This window comes from Homo sapiens, chromosome 22, assembly GCF_000001405.40.
Source record: "Homo sapiens chromosome 22, GRCh38.p14 Primary Assembly".
In the NCBI taxonomy this organism is placed as follows: domain Eukaryota; kingdom Metazoa; phylum Chordata; class Mammalia; order Primates; family Hominidae; genus Homo; species Homo sapiens.
This window is the reverse complement of record NC_000022.11, coordinates 43084783-43104888: the sequence shown is the minus strand read 5'-3', so window position 1 is coordinate 43104888 and position 20106 is coordinate 43084783. Positions and strand designations below refer to the sequence as shown.

Below are 20106 nucleotides of genomic sequence, written 5' to 3'. Positions count from 1 at the left end.
CTGCCTTGGCCTCCCAAAGTGTGGGCAGAAAGCCACCCAGTTGCAGAGGCAAGAGACTGAAGGCACAAGCTGTTCCAATATAATAAAGAAAATAGGATAAGAGAAAGTTATATTAGAAATAGGATATAGAGATGATTATATATGGATATTATCAATCATTAGTTTCTAGTATTAATCTTTGTATTATTATTATTATTATAATAACCGAGGAAAAACCAGGCCATACAGAGTCAGGAGCTGAAGGGACATTGTGAGAGGTGACCAGAAGACAAGAGTGTGAGCCCTCTGTCACACCCGGATAAGGGCCACTTGAGGGCTCCTTGGTCTAGTGGTAGCGCCAGTGCCTGGGAAGGCACCCGTTACTTAGCAGACCAGGAAAGGGAGTTTCCCCTTCCTTGGGGGAATTAGAGAACACTCTGCTCCACCAGCTCTTGTGGGAGGCCTGACATGACTCGGGCCTGCCCATAGTCATCCGGAAGCTTCAACGTCTCCCTGTGGTGCTGTGCTTCAGTGGTCACGCTCCCTGTTCACTTTCATGTCCCGCCTGTACACCTGGTGCCTCTTTTAAGTTCCTAGAAGATAGCAGTAGCAGAATTAGTGAAAGTATTAAAGTCTTTGATCTCTCTGATAAGTGCATAGAAAAAACGCTGACGTCTGCTATCCTCCCTCTCTGCTTTAGCAACCACAAAGGGAAAGGCTCCCTGTCACGTGGACACGTGACTTGCTTGACCTTATCAATCACTTGGGATGACTCACTCTCCTTCCCCTGCCCCCTTGCCTTGTATACAATAAATAGCAGTGCGTCCAGGCATTCGGAACAACTACCGGACTCCGTGCATTGGTGGTAGTGGCCCCCTGGGCCCAGCTGTCTTTCATACTCTCTCTTACTCTTGTGTCTTTCTTTCTATGTCTCCGCACACGACGAGAAAACCCACAAGGCCCAGTAGGGCTGGACCCTACGCCAAAATGCTAGGATTACAGGCGTGAGCCACCATGCCCAGCTGTATAGCTGTTGAAGAAATGCATGCATGTTGTGTGCATTAGGGCCAAAGAGACACATCTATTTTTGGGTGATTTCCTCCCTCTGTCCCTCTCTTGGTTCTTCCCCCCGATAGGCTTCTCCTTGAACAACAGTTAAGAACAACTTCTGGGCCGGGTGCAGTGGCTCACGCCTGTAATCCCAACACTTTGAGAGGCTGAGGCGGGCAGATCACCTGACCTCAGGAGTTTGACACCAGCCTGGGCTACGTGGTGAAACCCCATCTCTACTAAAAATACAAAAAATTAGCCAGGCATGGCAGCATGTGCCTGTAGTCCCAGCTATTTGGGAGGCTAAGGCAGAAGAATTGCTTGAACCCAGGAGGTGGAGGCTGCAGTGAGCCAGGATCGTGCCACTGCACTCCAGCCTGGGTGACAGGGTGAGACTCCAGCTCAAAAGCAAACGAACACAAAAGAACAGCTTCTGCTGAGGCTTCACAGCTTCTCTCTCTCTCTTTTTTTTTTTTTTTTTTTTTTTTTTTTGAGACAGAGTCTCGCTCTGTCACCCAGGCTGGAGTGCAGTGGCGTGATCTCGGCTCAATGTAACCTCTGCCTCCCCACTTTGAGCGACTCTCCTTCCTCAGCCTCCTGAGAAGCTGGGATTACAGGCACCCACCACCACACCTGGATAGTTTTTATATTTTTTATTGAGACAGGGTTTCACCATGTTGGCCAGGCTGGTCTTAAATCTTGACGTCAAGTGATCCACCTGCTTCAGCCTTGCAAAGTGCTCAGTTTATAGGCATGAGCCATCGTGCCCAGCCCTCTCTCTCTCTCAGTCTCTCTCTCTCTCTCTCTCTCTATATGTATATATATGTGTGTATGTATGTATATATGTATATATGTGTATATATGTATATATGTGTATATGTGTATATATGTATATATGTATATATGTGTATATGTGTATATATGTATATATGTATATATGTGTATATGTGTATATATGTATATGTGTATATATGTGTATATATGTATATATGTGTATATATATGTATATGTGTGTATATATATATGTGTATATATATATATTTTCTTTTTTTTTTGAGACAGAGTCTCACTTTGTCTCCCAGGCTGGAGTGCAGTGACGCATTCTCGGCTCACTGCAACTTCCACCTCCTGGGTTTAAGCCATTCTCCTGCCTCAGCCTTCCAAGTAGCTGGGACTACAGGCGTGTGCCACCATGCCTGGCTAATTTTTTGTATGTTTAGTAGAGAGGAGGTTTCACTGTGTTAGCCAGGATGGTCTCGATCTCCTGACCTTGTGATCCGCCCGCCTCGGCCTCCCAAAGTGCTGGGATTACAGGCGTGAGCGCCCGGCTTTAACTTTTTTTTACAGACATTATGTTGAATGAAAGAAGCCAGACACGAGGCCAGGTGCGGTGGCTCACGCCTGTAATACTAACACTTCGGGAGTCCAAGGCAGGTGGATCACCTGAGGCCAGGAATTTGAAACTAGCCTGGCCAACCCTGTCTCCACTAAAGACACAAAAATTAGCCGGGTGTGGTGGTGCACGCCTGTAATCCCAGCTACTCGGGAGGCTGAGGCAGGAGAATTGCTTGAACCAGGGAGGTGGAGGTTGCAGTAAGCCAAGATCGTGCCACTGCACTCCAGCCTGGACAACAAGAGCGAAACGCCATCTCGAAAAAAAAAAAAAAAAGAAGCTGGACACAAAATAAAGCATGCTGTAATTCCATTTCTATGACGTTCATAACTAGGCATAACTAGGCACAACTAATCTACGGCATTAGATGTGAGATCGGTGACTCCCTCTCCAGGGTGGGGATGGGTATTGGCTGGGAAGGGGCATGATGGAAGCTTCTGGGGTAACACAGATGGTGGCTGCAGGGGTACATATGTATGCAAACATACATTGAACTGAATGCTTAGGATCTGTGCACTTTTGGGTATATCAATTAAAACTCAATACTAAACAATAAAATCAAAGCAAAGCCCAGTGGATCAAACTTGAAATAGTCAACATCAAGGATTTTAATCCAGATCTGGATTCACAGCTGCCAGGGTGCTTGGTAGGCCAAGGCCATGGTGAGATCTGAGAGGCCAGCTTTGCAGGTGACAAGAATAATGTAACTGAAAACAGGACCAGTGCATTTCAGAGCAAATTATGGAGGCTCAACCCGCCAGGCCTCTCAGCTCAGTGCCACAGCCATGTAACAGACACACGTTTGGGCCAGATATCCAAATGGCTAGTGTGACCAACATAATCTACTGTGGCCTGTCAGGAGGATGGAGAACAGGCCTCCATTCTGTGAGACAATTCCAGGAATCCAGGGTCAGAAAAGAGGTGATCTCAGCTCCTGCAGCATTGCGGAGGCCTTGGGCAGCAGTCCGGAGACGTCCTACAGTGATGGCCACTGCTGTCCCTGCCAGGAGCAGGCTCAAGGCCCCAGATTATCACCCAAGCCGGGTCTGATGGGAGGGGCTAGGCCCATGTGGTGTAAGCAGGAAGGACCTCCAGTCCTGCGGAACCTCCTTTCGCCCAGAAATAACATCCCTTCTGACAACTGAGCTTATCAGAGTGATAGCAGATATTTTCAAAACAATAGCAGCTCTGGCAGCTCCTGGGGTTCAACCTGCACCCTCAACGAGGATGGGGTGGCCATGGAATTGGCAGTGGCCGCCACCCACACCTCTGCTCTCAGGGCACTCTGGGAAAGACCTCTTCATCTCCTTTTTTTTTTTGGAGACAGAGTTTCCCTCTTGTTGCCCAGGCTGGAGTGCAATGGTGCGATCTTGGCTCACCGCAACCTCTGCCTCCTGGGTTCAAGTCATTCTCCTGCCTTAGCCTCCCAAGTAGCTGGGATTACAGGCGCCCGCCACCATGCCTGGCTAATATTTTTGTATTTTTAGTAGCGACGGGATTTCACCATGTTGGCCAGGCTGGTCTCGAACTCCTGACCTCAGGTGATCTACCCGCCTCAGCCTCTCAAAGTGCTGGGATGACAGGCCTGAGCCACTGTGCCTGGCTGGGAAGAATCTCTTCTAGCCAACCTTCCCCTGGTCTATCAGCCCCAACACGGGTGTACATTTTTGCTCCTCTGCACCCCAAAAAGCGGACCCTCAGTAGATGTCTGTTGCACAAATGAGTGGATTTTTCCATCCCTTTTCATCTCCACAACAACCTTAAGAGACAATTTCTGCTGTTGCCACTTTACAGGAGAGGAAACTGAGGCCAGACAGGCAAAATGATGCCCTGAGGTCTTGTGGGCCATGGGAGGACCCAATTTCTCATTCCAGGCCCACAGGTCTCCTGGTTTCACCACTCTCTCCAACTTTCCTTCTCCTGCCTCGAAGAATGAGGAAGACTCAGGAGATACAGCATGCTGGGATTTTCCCCTCTCGTGAGTAACCATTTCTTTTGAAGTTCTGTAATAGTCATATCTCTTTTGCCCCAGGAAGTTTATGTTACCATGTCCCCACGAATCATGAAAGAGATGCAAAGAAAAGCAGCAACAATGCTCTCAGTATTTCATCCTTTGATGGCCTGTCAGATAGGCAGGAGCCTGGCCGTCTTGTCAGCCTGTGCTGGAAATACACACGGACACACCCTCTTAGGAGGGCAGTCTGGTGAATACCTCAAAACATTTAAAATGTGGGGCAGGGCCGGGCACCGTGGCTCATGCCTGTAATCCCAGCATTTTGGGAGGCCGAGGCGGGTGGATCACAAGATCAGAAGATCAAGACCATCCTGGCCAACATGGTGAAACCCCATCTCTACTAAAAATACAAAAATCAGCTGGGCATGGTGTCATGCGCCTCTAGTTCCAGCTACTCAGGAGGCTGAGGCTGGAGAATCACTTGAACCTGGGAGGCGGAGGTTGCACTGAGCCGAGATTGCACCATTGCGCTCCAGCCTGGGTGACAAGAGTGAGACTCTGTCTCAAAAAAAAAAAAAAGTGCATGGTTGGGCCGGGCATGGTAGGTCACACGTGTAATCCCAGCACTTTGGGAGGCCAAAGCAGGCGGATCACTTGAGGTCAGGAGTTCGAGACCAGCCTGGCCAACATGGTTAAACCCTCTCTTCACTAAAAATACAAAAATTAGCCAGGCAGGGTGGCGCATGCTTGTAATCCCAGCTTCTCTGGAGGCTGAGACACGAGAATCACTTGAACCCAAGAGGTGGAGGTTGCAGTGAGCCGAGATGGCACCACTGTACTCCAGCCTGGGCAACAGAGTGAAAATGCGTCTCAAAAAAAAAAAAAAAAAAAAAAAGACCAGCCTGGCCAACATGGCAAAACGCCATCTCCACTAAAAATACAAAAATTAGCCGGGCATGGTGGTGGGCGCCTGTATTCCCAGCTACTCGGGAGGCTGAGGCAGGAGAATCACTTGAACCTGGGAGGTGGAGGCTGCAGTGAGCCAAGACTGCGCCACTGCACTCCAGCCTGGGCAGCAGAGTGAGGCCCTGTCTCAAAAAAAAAAAAAAAATGACCCAGATATGTATTTCATTTAGGACATTCTAGATAGAAGGACTCCTGTGAGCGAGCCAAGGTGAGGAAGACAAAGTCTGAGTGTTGACATGTAGCAGCAAAAGCTAGCCTGGCTCTTTGCCTCGGAAGGAAGGGAGCTACCAGCCAAGTTGGCTGCAGGGGGTAAGGCCGGGAACTGCAGGGGCTAGAGAATTCCAGACAGGAGGCCCCAGTGGGAACCTGGAACCTGGAGGTGGGTGGAAGCCCTTGTCTCAGCTGCCTGTGAAGCATTTGCAGGGTTAGTGTTATTTTTCTGCTTCTCTCTAACCTGGTGAAGTGTGTAGCATGAGCCCATTTCACAGACGCGGAAGCTGACTTCAGCCAGGGTCAGCCCTCCTGCACAACCCCAGTTTGAACTCAGGTGTGTCCAAGTTTCAATTTCTTTCTTTCTTTTTTTTTCTTTTTTTTGAGACGGAGTTTCGCTCTTGTTGCCTCAGCCTCCTGAGTAGCTGGGATTACAGGCACGCACCACCATGCCCAGCTAATTTTTGTATTTTTAGTAGAGACGGGGTTTCACCATGTTGGCCAGAATGGTCTTGATCTCCTGACCTCGTGATCCACTCACCTCGGCCTCCCAAAGTGCTGGGATTACAGGCATAAGACACCGTGCCCAGCTGGACCAGGCAGATATTCTACAGGGTCCGGGCCAGGACTGTGTTGGCCCCAGACAAGCTCTGGGCCTGGGCCAGCCTCTACATGTCTGTGAGCCTCAGGTTCCTTCTGTGCTAAACAGGGAAAACCTAAAAGGGACTGCTGTGGGGTCAAGTGGACGTCCTGATGTAAACCAGACCTTAGTTCTCATTTTCCTGCCTTTCCTGTTGGGGCTGGGAGCTTAAATGATTGACAGAAACTTTTTTTTTCTTTTTTTTGAGACAGAGTCTCACTCTGTGGCTCAGGCTGGAGAGCAGTGGTGCCATTATAGCTCATTGCAGCCTCCAACTACTGGGCTTAAGCAATCGTCCTGCTTCAGCCTCCAAAAATGTTGGGACTACATAAGCCCAGCAGGAACTCTTCCGCCATCTCTCGCCAACACCACCCTGCCTTCCTGTTGCCCCATTGCCCTTCCCTGGCTCCCTCAGCTGTGAGTACTGCCTCCGGCGCTGTCTGGGGGTGAGGTGTGCAGTGCGCCTGACGGAGGGAGCAAGGAGGGCTCACTGAAGTCAAGACCCACATTCCTGGCACAGTTTGCTGTCTTCAATTCTGCCTCCTCAACAGCATTGCAAGGTGGGGTGCATGGCTCCTTCCTGATGGAGAAACCAAGGCCCAGGGACCTGGAGGGCCGAGCTTAGGTCCAGTGAAGAGGATCAGAGGTTCAGCTCTCTTCTTCTTCTTCTTTTATTTATTTTTTTTATTATTATTATTTTTTTAGATGGAGTCTCGCTCTGTCACCCAGGCTGGAGTGCAGTGGCACGATCTCAGCTCACTGCAAGCTCCGCCTCCTGGGTTCTCGCCATTCTCCTGCCTCAGCCTCCCAAGTAGCTGGGACTACAGGCGCCCACTACCACGCCTGCTAATTTTTTGTATTTTTAGTAGAGATGGGGTTTCACCATGTTAGCCAGGATGGTCTCGATCTCCTGACCTCGTGATCCGCCCGCCTCGGCCTCCCAAAGTGCTGGGATTACAGGCGTGAGCCACCGCGCCTGGCCTTTTTATTTATTTATTTATTGAGACGGAGTTTCGCTCTTGTTGCCCAGGCTGGAGTACAATGGTGCAATCTCGGTTCACCGCAACCTCCACCTCCCGAGTTCAAGTGATTCTCCTGCCTCAGCCTCCCGAGTAGCTGGGACTACAGGCATGTGCCACCACGCCCAGCTATTTTTAGCAGAGATGAAGTTTCTCCATGTTGGTCCGGCTAGTCTTGACCTCCCAACCTCAGGTGATCTCCCTGCCTCGGCCTCCCAAAGTGCTGGGATTACAGGCGTGAGCCACCGCGCCCAGCTCAGATCTCTTCTGAGGCAGTCTTGCTGCATCCCAGGAGGACCCAGGCCTGAGAGGAGTCTGGGGGTCCTAGCTGCCTGCTCGTTATAGGGTGCAGTTCTTCCCTCCATCCTTCACAGGCCTTACTGGTCATGTTTCAAGGCCAGGCCCATGTAGGTCTCTGGGGTACAGAGTAGAGCCTCTCCAGGCAGGTGAGAGCAGCAGACCGGTGACTGGTCAGCCCCGTAAGACGGGCTCTGTGCTGCCTGGGCTCCCTGAGCCTCCCTTACCTGCACCCCACCTCCCAGGCTCCGCTATCCACAACCCCTCACCCACACACCTCTGCCTTCCTCCTCCACCATCCAGCTGATACAAAAGAAAGAGCACCAAACACAGAGGCCTCCAGACCTGGACTCAGATCCCCTCTGGAAGCCGCTGGCTCCTCCTGGCTTGCAGGGGTCCAACCCCAGGCAATCTGGAGGAAGTCGGACAAAGGATCCGTTTCTGCGTCTCACTGGGCCGTGGGAGAGCGTGCAGGACCCAGCTCCCGGGAAGATCAGCCCCATCTTCCTCAGCTGGGGCCTCTGCTGTCTGTGCTGGGTGCTGCTTAGCAGGGGGTTGGGGAGGAGCTCTAGTCCCTTCCAGCTTCAAGCCCCTTGTCCCAACCCTCCCCACCAACCTTGGGTCCTGCTGTGGGTGGGGTGAACACACACATACACACACAGTCACTCACATGTGTTGGGAATGAAGTTTTTGGTGTCACACACAAAAAAAATTAACACAGAAACAAATGATCTCTCGGCAAGGTGCGCTTTACTTTCTGCAGAAAGGGCGCTGCTCAATAGCTGCTCAGCCACGAGAGCACACTGAGCGAAGGAGACTGTTATTTATAACCTAACGCATCTACCCTACTGCTGTGTCCAGTTTCCATTGGCTGGAATAGGACCTCACATTTTACACTTTACTCGATTGGCTATTGGTTTAAAACGTTTTAATTGGGTAAGGGGGACAGAACAAAGAAAGAAAAGGAAGTTGCCCAGGGATAGTTAAGGGAGCATCTCCAAATAAGGAATGGGACGCACTATGGGCTGGGGCTTTCTATTCTTTTTTTTTTTTTTTTTTTTTTTTTTGAGACGGAGTCTCGCTGTCACCCAGGCTGGAATGCAGTGGCACAATCTCGCCTCACTGCAGACTCCGCCCCCTGGGTTCACGCCATTCTCCTGCCTCAGCCTCCCGAGTAGCTGGGACTACAGGCGCCTGCCACCTCCCAGGCTAATTTTTTGTATTTTTAGTAGAGATGGGGTTTCACCATGTTAGCCAGGATGGTCTCCATCTCCTGACCTCGTGATCCACCCGCCTCGGCCTCCCAAAGTGCTGGGATTACAGGCCTGAGCCACCGCACCCGGCCCGGCTGGGGCTTGTCTAGTTCTGTCCAGGCATGCCGGAGCAAGCTAGGACAGCTGATAGGACACTATATATATATATATAGTGGATAGCAATCTTACAGTAAGAAATTGTGACTTTTTATAATCTTTGAAGAACTTTCCCATTTCTCACACACACACACACACACCACACACACACTCTCACACTCACACAAACACACCACACACACAATAACACTCATTCACACACACAACACACATACACTCACACACAACACACACTCACACTCACACACACTCTCACACTCACACAAACACACCACACACACAATAACACACACACACAACACCCATGCACTCACACACAACCCACATATACTCACACTCACACACACTCTCACACTCTGGGCATGCGGTCCTCTCTGAGCAGCTTCCCCTTGATTGATCATGAACAGTCTTCCTAGGAGCTGCCCTCTGTGCGGGCTGCATGCTGAGCACGGTCACTGGCATGGTCTCATCTGATCGTCACAGCTGCCCCGGGAAGCTGGTTCTATTATTAACTCCATTGTAAAGAGCAGGAGCGAGCAGAGGTTAAGCACTCGAAGTCCACTTGTGGGGAGGCTCTCTGGGGTACCAGTCGGTACTTTTGTTATTGTCCTTTAACCTTCCCTGACCGGACACCTCCTCGGCTTTACCTGGGTGGACACTTGGGTCCCCAGGACTGGGGAACTGGGGCACGGGGGACTTGGTTGCCCAGCAGGAGGGCAAAGGGGTGGAAATGGATGAGAAGGGAAGGGGGAGAGAAGGAGGGAATGGAAAGCCAGGCCCCCCAAGGGAAACAAACAGCCACCCTGTGGGCGGTTCTTGGAGGAATAACAGGTAGGGGCGGCCCTCGTCTCCCACCAGCTCTGGGGATTGAAGATTATTTTCTTTTCTTTTTTTTTTTTTTTTTGAGACTGAGTCTCCCTCTGTTGCCCAGGCTGGAGTGCAATGGTGCAATCTCGGCACACTGCAACCTCCGCCTCCCAGGTTCAAGCAATTCTCGTGCTTCAGCCTCCAGAGTAGCTGGGATTACAGGCACGTGCCACCACGCCTGGCTAATTTTTTGTATTTTTGGTAGAGCCAGGGTTTCGTCAAGTTAGCCAGGCTGATCTCAAACTCTTGGCCTCAGGTAATCCACCTGTCTCAGCATCCCACAGTGCTGGGATTACAGGTGTGAGCCACTGCACCCGGCTGGCTTTCTTATTGTTCTCTGAGCCCCCAGGGACTCCACCCTTTGGCCCTAGGCCAGGAGGCCTGCGCTCTGGGCCTCAGCCCCTTGGGGCTAGAAAAGGGCCTGACAAAGCCAGAGCCTGAGGCCCAGCTGTCTGGCCTCTCCCTAATCCTTCTAGGTGCTCAGGTAAATGGGCAAGGAGGATAAGGAGAGATCCCGAGAGCACCTGGTTCTTTCACCTGGAGAAGAGGCAGCCTTCCCACCTCCATGCTGCAAGGGGGAGGGAGGAGGGGACAGAGACCCTGGGAAGTCAGGGCCTGTGGTGGGAAGTGGGGGAGAAGGGGGCAAGGCTGCTAGAGGCTGAGGGTGGGGCAGCATGGGGAGGAGCATGGCCAGGTCTAGGCAGGTTCGGGTCCAGCTGGCTGGCCAGGGGGCTGCAGTGGCATGGGGCGTGCCTGAGGGCTCCTGTTGGCCTCAGGGAGCATCAGACTGGAGCGAAGGTGAAGTACTTGTGTGTGCTATTGGCTGGCACTGTGACAGCGGCGAGCTGGCCTCCTGGTGGCAGTGTGAGTGGGGCTGATGTGTTGAGACATCTGCCCAGTGACGATGACTGCTGTAGTGATTGCTGCCTGGCCTTGGGCAAGTTACTCACCACCTTCAAGCTTCAGTTCCCATATTTACAAGGCAGGGAGGATGTCACACCCGTTAGAATAACTGCTATCAAAAAATAGAAGATAACAGGTATTGTCCAGGATGTGGAGGAATTGGAACTCTGGCACTGTTGGTGGGAATGTGAAATGGTGCAGCTGCTGTGGAAAACCTTATGGAGAGTCCTCGGAAAGTTCAATATAGAATTCCTACATGATCCAGCAGTCTCACGCTGGGTACATACCCCAGATAACTGAAAGCAAGGAGCCTGGGGTGGTGGTTCATGCCTGTAATGCCACCACTTTGGAAGGCCAAGGCAGGCGGATCACTTGAGCCCAGGAGTTGGAGACAGCCTAGGCAACATAGTGAGACCTGATCTCAGTTATTAAGAAAAAAAAAAAGAATTAAAAGCAGGGTCTCAGATATACACCCGTGTTCATAGTAGCATTAATCACAATAGCCAAAAGGTAGAAACTGATGAATGGATTTTTTTTTTTTGGGTGGCGGGTTCTCGCTCTATCCCCTAGGCTGGAGTGCAGTGGCATGATTTCGGCTCACTGCAATCTCCGCCTCCTGGGTTCAAGTGATTCTCCTGTCTCAGCCTCCCGAGTGGCTGGGATTACAGGCGCCCGCCACCATGCCCGGCTAATTTTTGTATTTTTAATAGAGACGGGGTTTTGCCACGTTGGCCAGGCTGGTCTTGAACTCCTGACTTCAGGTGATCTGCCTGCCTGGGCCTCCCAAAGAGCTGGGATTATAGGCATGAGCCACCAAGCCTGGCCCTGGATTTTTTTTTTTTAATTATACTTTAAGTTTTAGGGTACATGTGCACAACGTGCAGGTTTGTTACATACGTATACATGTGCCATGTTGGTGTGCTGCACCCATTAAATCGTCATTTACATTAGGTATATCTCCTAATGCTATCCCTCCCCCCTCCCCCCGCCCTGGATTTTTTTAAATGCCTTAAAAACATACAATGAAATGTTTTCAGCCTTAAAAAAAAAAAAAAAGGAAATCCATACTACAACAGGAATGAACCTGAGGGCATTATGCTACATGAAATAAGCCAGTCACAAAAAGACAAAAATTAGCTGAGTGTGGTGGCACATGCCTGTAGTCCTAATTGCTCTAGAGGCTGAGGAAGGAGGATCACTTGAGGTCCAGAGCTCAAGGTTACAGTGAGCTATGATCCTGCCACTGCACCCAGCATGGGCCACAGAGCAAGACGTCCTCTCTAAAAATAAATAAATAAATAAATAACAAATACTGTATGATTCTACTTTCTTCCTTTCTTCTTTTTCTTTCTTTTTTTTTTTTTTTTTGGAGATGGAGTCTCACTCTGTCGCCCAGGCTGGAGTGCAGTGGCATGATCTTGGCTCACTGCAACCTCCGCCTCCTGGGTTCAAGCGATCCTCCTGCCTCAGCCCCCCTAGTGGCTGGGACTACAGGCACATGCCACCATGCCCTGCTAAGTTTTGTATTTTTAGTAGAGACGGGGTTTCGCCATGTTGGCCAGGCTGGTCTCGAACTCCTGAGCTCAGGTGATCCACCCACCTCGGCCTCCCAAAGTGTGGGATTATAGGCATGAGCCACCGCGCCTGGCCTCTTTTTTTGATTTAATAAAGTTTTATTTTTGCAAATGTACAGTTGGTTGGACCTGTTCATGTATCATCACCAGCAGCTATAACATCTCCACCCTTGGTATTTCTGATGTAAATTACTTGAGCTCTGTGCTTTGAAACCAGTTTGTTAAGTCCTTTACTAAGGTTCTCCTGAAGGGCTGCCCTGGCCAGGAAGCCTCGAATCTTCAGTTTCTCAGAGACCACAGCAGGGCTTATAAGTTTATGGTTAGGAAGTTCCTTACAGAGTTTGTCATAGGTAGGTTTGTCAAACACGACTCAGTTATTGAGCTTGTCCCGGACTTTGCCTTTGAACCACTTCTTCTTTTGGGCCCTGCCCCCAGATTTGTTCACTGAATCTTTGTCTTTCTTAGCGACTTTCCGGTGTCTTCGTTCTTCTTGTCATCCATTGATAGCACGGCGAAGCTCAGAGAGCAGCAGCGAACCCTTTCTTCCCTCCCTCCCTCCCTTCCTTCCTTCTCTTTCTTTCTTCTTCTTCTTCTTTTTTTTTTTTTTTGCAGAGACGAGGTCGCCCTATGTTGCCCAGGCTGGTCTCAAACTCCTGGGCTCAGGCAATCCTCCTGCCTCAGGCTCCCAAAATGCTGGGATTACAGGCATGAGCCACTGTGCCTGGCCCAGATTCCACTTAGATGAGGTACTTAGGGAGTCTAATTCATTAAGACAGAAAGTAGAAAGGCAGTTACCAGGGGCTGGGGAAGGAAGGATGGGGAATTGTGTTCAATGGGTAAAGAGTTTTAGTTTAGCAAGAGGATAAAGTTCTGGAGACTGATTGCACAACGTGAATATATTTAACATCACTGAACTGTACATTTAAAAATGGCTAAGATGGTTAAGTTTTATGTTATACATATTTTACCACTTTTTCTTTTTTTTGTTTTTAGACAGAGTCTCGCTCTGTCGCTAGGCTGGAGTGCAGTGGTGTGATCTCAGCTCACTGCAACCTCTGCCTCCCAGGTTCAAGCGATTCTCCCGCCTCAGCTCCCTGAGTAGCTGGGACTACAGGCGTGTGCCATCATGCCCGGCTAATTTTTGTATTTTTAGTAGAGACGGGTTTCCATCATGTTGGCCAGAATGGTCTCGATCTCTTGACCTCATGATCCGCCCACCTCGGCCTCCCAAAGTGCTAAGATTACAGGCGTGAGCCACTGCGCCCGGCCAATTTACCACTATTTTTTAAAAAGTGGTGATAACACCATTAACTCAGCAGAGTTCTTGTGGGGATTCATTGAGGGGAGCTGTGGCCAGCTTCTTAGGGTAAGGCCAGCCTCATGGGCCTGTGACCTGTACAGAACCATAGGACCCCGTGCTCAGACAAGCCCTGAAGTTAGTTTAATGCTGCTGTCGCCATCTTAAAGTTCTTTTTTTTTTTTTAAGACGGAGTCTCGCCCTGTTGCCCAGGCTGGAGTGCAATAGTGCGATCTCGGCTCACTGTAACCTCTGTCTCCCAGGCTCAAACAATTCTCCTGCCTCAGCCTCCCAAGTAGCTGGGATTACAAGTGCGCACCACCATGCCCGGCAAATTTTTGTATTTTTAGTAAAGACGGGGTTTCACCATGTTGGCCAGGCTGGTCTCAAACTGCTGACCTTAGGTGATCCACCCGCCTCGGCCTCCCAAAGTGCTGGGATTACAGGCGTAAGGCACCATGCCCTGCCTTAAAATTCTTTTTTTGTTGTTGTTTTTTTTAACTTTTTTTCTCTAAGAGACAGAGTCTTGTTCTGTTGGCCAGGCTGTAGTGTAGTGGCGGGATCATAGCTCACTGCAGCCTCAATCTCCTAGGCTCAAGTGATCCACCTCAGCCTCCTGAGTAACTGAGTAGGACTGCTGGCTACGCCCCCATACCCGGCTGATTAAAAATATTTTTTCTTTTTTTTTTAGAAATGGGGTCTTGCTATATTGGCCAGGCTGGTCTGGAACTCCTGACCTCAAGTGATCCTCCCATCTTGGCCTCCCAAAGTACAGGGATTGCAGGCATGAGGCAACATGCTGGAAGGCTACAATGTTTATTGAACACTTTACTATGCCAGGCCCTAACCACGTCTTGCAAGCCTTCACTCATCTCCTGGGTTTAAGGTGAGAACACTGTAGTCGGAAGCCTTGGGACTTCTCAAGGCCTCACAACCAGACAGCAGCTGAAGGGTATGAATTGGCAATTTGGACTCCAGATAAGTGTTGGTTCCACTAGATGGTGCCAAAAGTAAATGATGATGCGCTGAATGTGCTCTGGGCCTGGGAGGCGGTTGTGTGGGAGATTATAGGAAGTGATGTTAGCAAAGCTCCAATCATCACTAAGAAAGCACACCACCACCCCTCCTGAGAGGCAGCAGCATGAATGGTCAGGTGTCCTGGGTTCAAAGCCAGACTCTGTCACTTACAAGTTGCACAAGTTTGCATAACTCTTTAAATTGATGAAATTAAAAATGAATAATTGTATAGAGAATTCGAGGTAACACAGGTCTATAACGAGAATAATAAACGTCTTTTTTTTTTTTTTTTGAGGCGGAGTCTTGTTCTGTCGCCCAGGCTTGAGTGCAGTGGCACGATCTTGGCTCACTGCAACCTCTGTCTCCCGGGTTCAAGCGATTCTCTTGCCTCAGCCTAGCCAGGATGGTCTCGATCTCCTGACCTCGCGACCCACCCGCCTCTGCCTCCCAAAGTGCTGGGATTACAGGCGTGAGCCACCGAGTCTGGCCCAGATAAACACTTTTTAAAAAAAATTATTTTATTTTTATGTTATTATTATTATTATTATTTGAGATGGAGTCTCGCTCTATCGCCCAGGCTGGAGTGCAGTGGCGCAACATCACCATTTCTTCAGATAAGGAAGCCGAGGTAGAAGGGGTAGGAGAGGCTAAACAGCGGATTGAGACCGAACCCAGGATTCGGACCTAATCATCACACCGCTCTACCTTTCTTTTTAGACTTAATCCCGTGCTCCAGACCCTTCTCAATCTCCTTTCTGGGCCCCGAGAGGGTGGACGGCCTGGCATTTCCTAGGATCCAAGCCCTGGGCATAGCGGCCGCCCGAGGTATGGAGCCCAAAGGAGCCCCAGGCAAGTCTGACTCCGGAAATAGTCGCAGCGCCGGCGGTCGCGTCCTGGGTTGCCAGGGCGCCGCCCTGGAAGTAGAGTGCAGCGCGGGGCGGGGCGGGCCGGTGCGCCTGGCAGTCGGCTGCGTACTCCTGCGAGCGCCGGAGAGGGGCTGGAGGCGGGGCGAGGGCGCGGCTCGAGGCATCCCTGCAGGGCGCTCCTCCGAGTCCCTCGGCGCTCTGAGCCCACAGGTGAGGTCCTGTCCCCCAGGCCGCCGCCTCCCGGGCACCGAGGGTGTGGCTGCGCGCGGGCTGGCGAGTGCGCATGGGTGAGAGAGTGTGGGCGCCAGTGTCTACGCGGCTGCGAAAATGCGGTTCAGATGCTGCTTGCCGGATCCGCGTCCTCCAGGAAGCCCGCGCTAACCACCGTGCCTTTCTCCGTCCGCTGAGTTCCTATGACTTACCTCGTGCTGTCCGACTGTTGCAATTGCATCATTATGTTTATTATTTGTTATCCCAGACTTTCATTGTTCCTACACGTTTCCCATTCGTTTGCAATCTGTGTTGTTTCTGTTGGCATCTTTTGCAGGGCGCAATGTACCTGTGGAGAGAACTCAGGGCAGGAGACAAGAGCCTTGTGTCTTCCCTCTAGATGACTGGACCAAGACATTTCCCCTCTCTGATTCCCTATCAGCTAAGAGGGCAGGGCGGGGTAGTCATCCTTTTCCATAGAGTAGCTGGGGCATTAGAGGAGATTAATTCTGGAAGTGAAAGTATCTTATCATTGTTAGCCCTTTTGGCATTTGCAAAGCAGGTTCTTTGCTCAGGAAACGTTTGATGAGCACATTATGGTGCCGGGTTGTGGCGGTACAAAAAGATGGGCCCCGGCCGGGCACGGTGGCTCACGCCTGTAATCCCAGCACTTTGGGAGGCCGAGGCGGGAGGATCACGAGGTCAGGAGATCGAGACCATCCTGGCTAACACGGTGAAACCCCGTCTATACTAAAAATACAAAAAAAAAAAAATTAGCCGGGCATGGTGGCGGGGGCCTGTAGTCCCAGCTACTCGGGAGGCTGAGGCAGGAGAATGGCGTGAACCCGGGAGGCGGAGCTTGCAGTGAGCCGAGATTGCGCCACTGCACTCCAGCCTGGGCGACAGAGCGAGATTCTGTCTCAAAAAAAAAAAAAAAAAAAAAAAAAAAAAAGATGGGCCCTTCTCTGCCCTCAAATTACAGACACTGGTAAGCAGTCACTGTGGAGCATGGTACTGTCACCCAGTGCGGGCGTGGAGATGGACAGTGACAATACCGCTGTGAACGAATGCCCTGCTCAACATGAAGTCATCACTGACATTGTTATTACTTTATTTATTTATTTATTTATTTTTAGACGGAGTCTTGCTTTGTTGCCCAGGCTGGAGTGCGGTCGCTCTCGGCTCACTGCAACCTCTGCCTCCTGGGTTCAAGCGATTCTCCTGCCTCAGCCTCCCATGTAGCTGTGATTACAGGCACGCGCCACCATGCCCCGCTAATTTTTTAAATTTTAGTAGAGATGGGGTTTCGCCATGTTGGCCAGGCTGGTCTCGAGCTCCTGACCTCAGGTGATCCGCCCACCTCGGCCTCCCAAAGTGCTGGGATTACAAGCGTGAGCCACTGTGCCTGGCCATATTCTTGGTTTTTTTTTTTTTTTTTTGAGACCGTCTCACTCTGTCACCCAGGCTGGAGTGTGCAGTGGTGCGATCTTGGCTCACTGCAACCTCTGCCTCCCGGGTTCAAGCAATCCTCCCACCTCAGCCTCCCAGATAGCTTGGATTACAGGCGCCCACCACCACGCCCGGCTGATATTTGTATTTTTAGTAGAGATAGGGTTTCACCATGTTGGCCAGGCTGGTTTTGAATTCCTGACCTCAGGTGATCTACCCACCTTGGCCTCCCAAAGTGTTGGGATTACAGGCGTGAGCCACCGTGCCCTGCTAAGAATCTGTATTTCTTTTTTTTTTTTTTTTTGAGATGGAGTCTCACTCTGTTGCCCGGGCTGGAGTGCAGTGGCGTGATGCCAGCTCACTGCAACCTCCACCTCCCAGGTTCAAGTGATTCTCGTGCATCAGCCTTCTGAGTAGCTGGGATTACAGATGTGCACCACCACGCGCAGCTAATTTTGTATTTTTAGTAGAGACGGGGTTTCACCATGTTAGCCAGGCTGGTCTCGAACTCCCGACCTCAGGTGATCCACCTGTCTTGGCCTCCCAAAGAATCTGTATTTCTAACAAGCTCCAGGTGCTGCTCACATGTGGGCCATGCTTTGAGTAGCACTGGACTAAATGATTGCTTACAACCCAAGTGCCATGGAGAAAATAAAGTGACAATGTGGTGGAGTCAGGAGGATTGAGATTGAGTGGTTGGGGAAAGCCACTCTGAGCAGTTGACTTTTGAGAAGGGACAGATCTGGAGGACGAGCAAAGGCTTAAGACAAAATGCAGCCTGTGGGGTGTCAGGAGCTGAAAGAAGGCCAGGGGCTAAAGAGGGTTGGTGAGAGACAAGGCCTAAGAGGTGATGGTCCAGATCTGCAGGGCTGGCCTCGTAGGCCATGGAGGACCACTAGCTTCATTCTGAATGCAGTATGAAGCTACTGTGGGGTAGTGAGCAGGGTGACATGGTTAGTGTTGTGTGTGTCACACATTGGTCCGCTGCTGGGTGGGAAATGGGTTGTAGTGGAGTGAGAAGAGTAGCAGGGGACAGAGTGGGGCCTGCTGCAGTTGCCCAGGAGAGAGGGGACATTATGGGAGTGGAGGATGGATTTGGAATCTTCTGGAGTGGAGCTGACCTGATTTGCTGCTGGATCAAATTAACCATCCCTTCCTTCCCCGGCCACAGTTGAACTGTGATGTGTTGTTGAAGCCCTTTGCTGCAGGCAGGCCTTACAGCTTGTTAAATGTGTCTCCTGTGCTCCTCGCCCCCATCTGGGCTCTCAGTTTAATGTCTGTCTGTTACAGGCCTGGCACTGAGTGGCTGTCAGGGCTGTGTGGGTGGATGAGAAGTTAGACCACCAGTGGCCCTGATATCCAGGGTGTTCATGGGAAACCTTCTCTTTGAGCTCATGACGATCCTACCCAGTTGCCCCAGGAGCGAGACCCAGGTTGTCTTCTGAAAATAACCAGCAGCTCTCTGGTTTCAGGATGGCTTTCTGTGGTTGACACACTTCAGGTGGTGACAGCCCCAACTCCAATTGTGAGCTGCATTCAACATAAAAGGTCAATATGTCACTCTGTTTTTCCTGGTTAGGTTTTTATGATGCTCAGTTTAGAAAGTGACGTAAGATTCAGATGCATCAATTCACGTGAACCAGGAGAGATAATAACACGTTACTCAGTACCCTTAACCCCACTTCCGTTTTCTGTTTTAGGAGGAAGCAACAATAAAACAATCTGATATCAGGTATTTATTTACTTTTCTAAGGAAAACGGCTTAGTATTGCTTAGGGTTGGGAAGGAATCACCCATTCTTCCACACTGTGGGGCGTGGCCCGGTGGATCACTTGTCTACACACGATTTTGGAGCCCCACGCTAGGCCTGGCTGGCTGCGTGCCCGACATGAGAACAGACACGAGTCAGCCCACTCCTGAGCCAGCCCGCTCCTGAGCCAGCCCACTCTGCTGCCCCGCAGGAGGTTGCTATCTAATGTGGGAGGCACATGTGAAATAACAGTTGCCATCTGGTGTGGGAGGGAAGCGTGTAGGCTGTCCACAGGCTGCACACTCTCCTCTTCTTTTTATTCTCTGGCCCCCATTTTCCTCATCTGTAAAATGCGGAGAATTCCTGCTGTATTAGTCTGTTCTCATGCTGCTAATAAAGACATACCCAAAACTGGGTAATTTATAAAAGGAAGAGGTTTAATTGACTCAGTCACAATCATGGCGGAAGATGAAGGAAGAGCAAAGGCACATTATACATGGTGGCAGGCAAGAGAGCTTGTGCAGGGGAACTCGCATTTATAAAACCATCAGATCTCACAAGATTTATTCACTACCACGAGAACAGTACGGGGGAACCACTCCCATGATTCGTTTATCTCCACCTTGCCCTGCCCTTGACTCGTGGGGATTATTACAAGTCAAGTTGAGATTGGGATACAGACAAATCATATCATCTGCCTTTGGGCATCACATGAGACGATAATATACACAGTGGAGAAGAATATTCATAAACTACCCCACCCAGTACCTGACACATGCTAGAGCTTAATAAGTGGTAGCTTTGCCAGGCGCGGTGGCTCACACCTGTAATCCCAGCACTTTGGGAGGCCGAGGCAGGCGGATCACGAGGTCAGGAGATGGAGACCATCCTGGCTGACACAGTGAAACCTCGTCTCTATTAAAAATACAAAAAATTAGCCGGGCATGGTGGCATGCGCCTGTAGTCCCAGCTACTCGGGAGGCTGAGGCAGGAGAATCGCTTGAATCACTTGAACCTGGAAAGTGGAGGTTACAGTGAGCTGAGATCGCGCCACTGCACTCCAGCCTGGGCGACAGAGCAAGATGCCATCTCAAAAAAAAAAAAAAAAAAAAAAAGGTGGCAGCTTTTGTTCTTAATGATGATATAAATTTGTCATTCCTTACTCTGTGCAGGCATGGTTGAGCTCCAGTGCCCAGCCAGGGCCCTGGCTAGAATTACTCCAACCTAACCACCTGATGATAAGAGATTGGAAGCTTGTGGTTGAAACCTAGAAAAAAGGCTGGGCACAGTGGCTC

At 50.5% G+C, this 20106-nt stretch overlaps 1 protein-coding gene and 1 pseudogene across 2 annotated transcripts in view, besides 6 other annotated features; one reads left to right on the top strand and one right to left on the bottom strand.

Annotated features, from left to right (window-relative positions):
• Nucleotides 3332-3626: an enhancer, noted in NCBI's record as "tiled region #7153; HepG2 Activating non-DNase unmatched - State 3:PromF, and K562 Activating DNase unmatched - State 5:Enh". NCBI's record gives its function as "activates a minimal TATA promoter and a strong SV40 promoter by Sharpr-MPRA in HepG2 and K562 cells {active_cell/tissue: HepG2 | K562}" and the evidence as "EXISTENCE:reporter gene assay evidence [ECO:0000049][PMID:27701403]".
• On the bottom strand, nucleotides 12310-12755 carry RPS25P10 (ribosomal protein S25 pseudogene 10; annotated as a pseudogene).
• Nucleotides 14524-14583: a silencer, noted in NCBI's record as "silent region_13852". NCBI's record gives its function as "represses an Ori minimal core promoter by ATAC-STARR-seq in GM12878 lymphoblastoid cells {active_cell/tissue: GM12878}" and the evidence as "EXISTENCE:reporter gene assay evidence [ECO:0000049][PMID:35858748]".
• Nucleotides 15332-15626: an enhancer, noted in NCBI's record as "tiled region #1995; HepG2 Activating DNase matched - State 1:Tss". NCBI's record gives its function as "activates a minimal TATA promoter and a strong SV40 promoter by Sharpr-MPRA in HepG2 cells {active_cell/tissue: HepG2}" and the evidence as "EXISTENCE:reporter gene assay evidence [ECO:0000049][PMID:27701403]".
• Nucleotides 15332-15626: a silencer, noted in NCBI's record as "tiled region #1995; K562 Repressive DNase unmatched - State 1:Tss". NCBI's record gives its function as "represses a minimal TATA promoter and a strong SV40 promoter by Sharpr-MPRA in K562 cells {active_cell/tissue: K562}" and the evidence as "EXISTENCE:reporter gene assay evidence [ECO:0000049][PMID:27701403]".
• Nucleotides 15332-15730: a biological region, named in NCBI's record as "Sharpr-MPRA regulatory region 1995".
• Nucleotides 15391-15730: a silencer, noted in NCBI's record as "silent region_13851". NCBI's record gives its function as "represses an Ori minimal core promoter by ATAC-STARR-seq in GM12878 lymphoblastoid cells {active_cell/tissue: GM12878}" and the evidence as "EXISTENCE:reporter gene assay evidence [ECO:0000049][PMID:35858748]".
• Nucleotides 15498-20106, top strand: part of TTLL1 (TTL family tubulin polyglutamylase complex subunit L1) — a 49876-nt gene continuing 45267 nt past the window's right edge. For both annotated transcript variants that reach the window (NR_027779.2, NM_012263.5), the window contains exon 1: nucleotides 15498-15612. The gene's annotated coding sequence lies outside the window, so the exon portion shown is untranslated. The remainder of the gene's footprint in view (nucleotides 15613-20106) is intronic.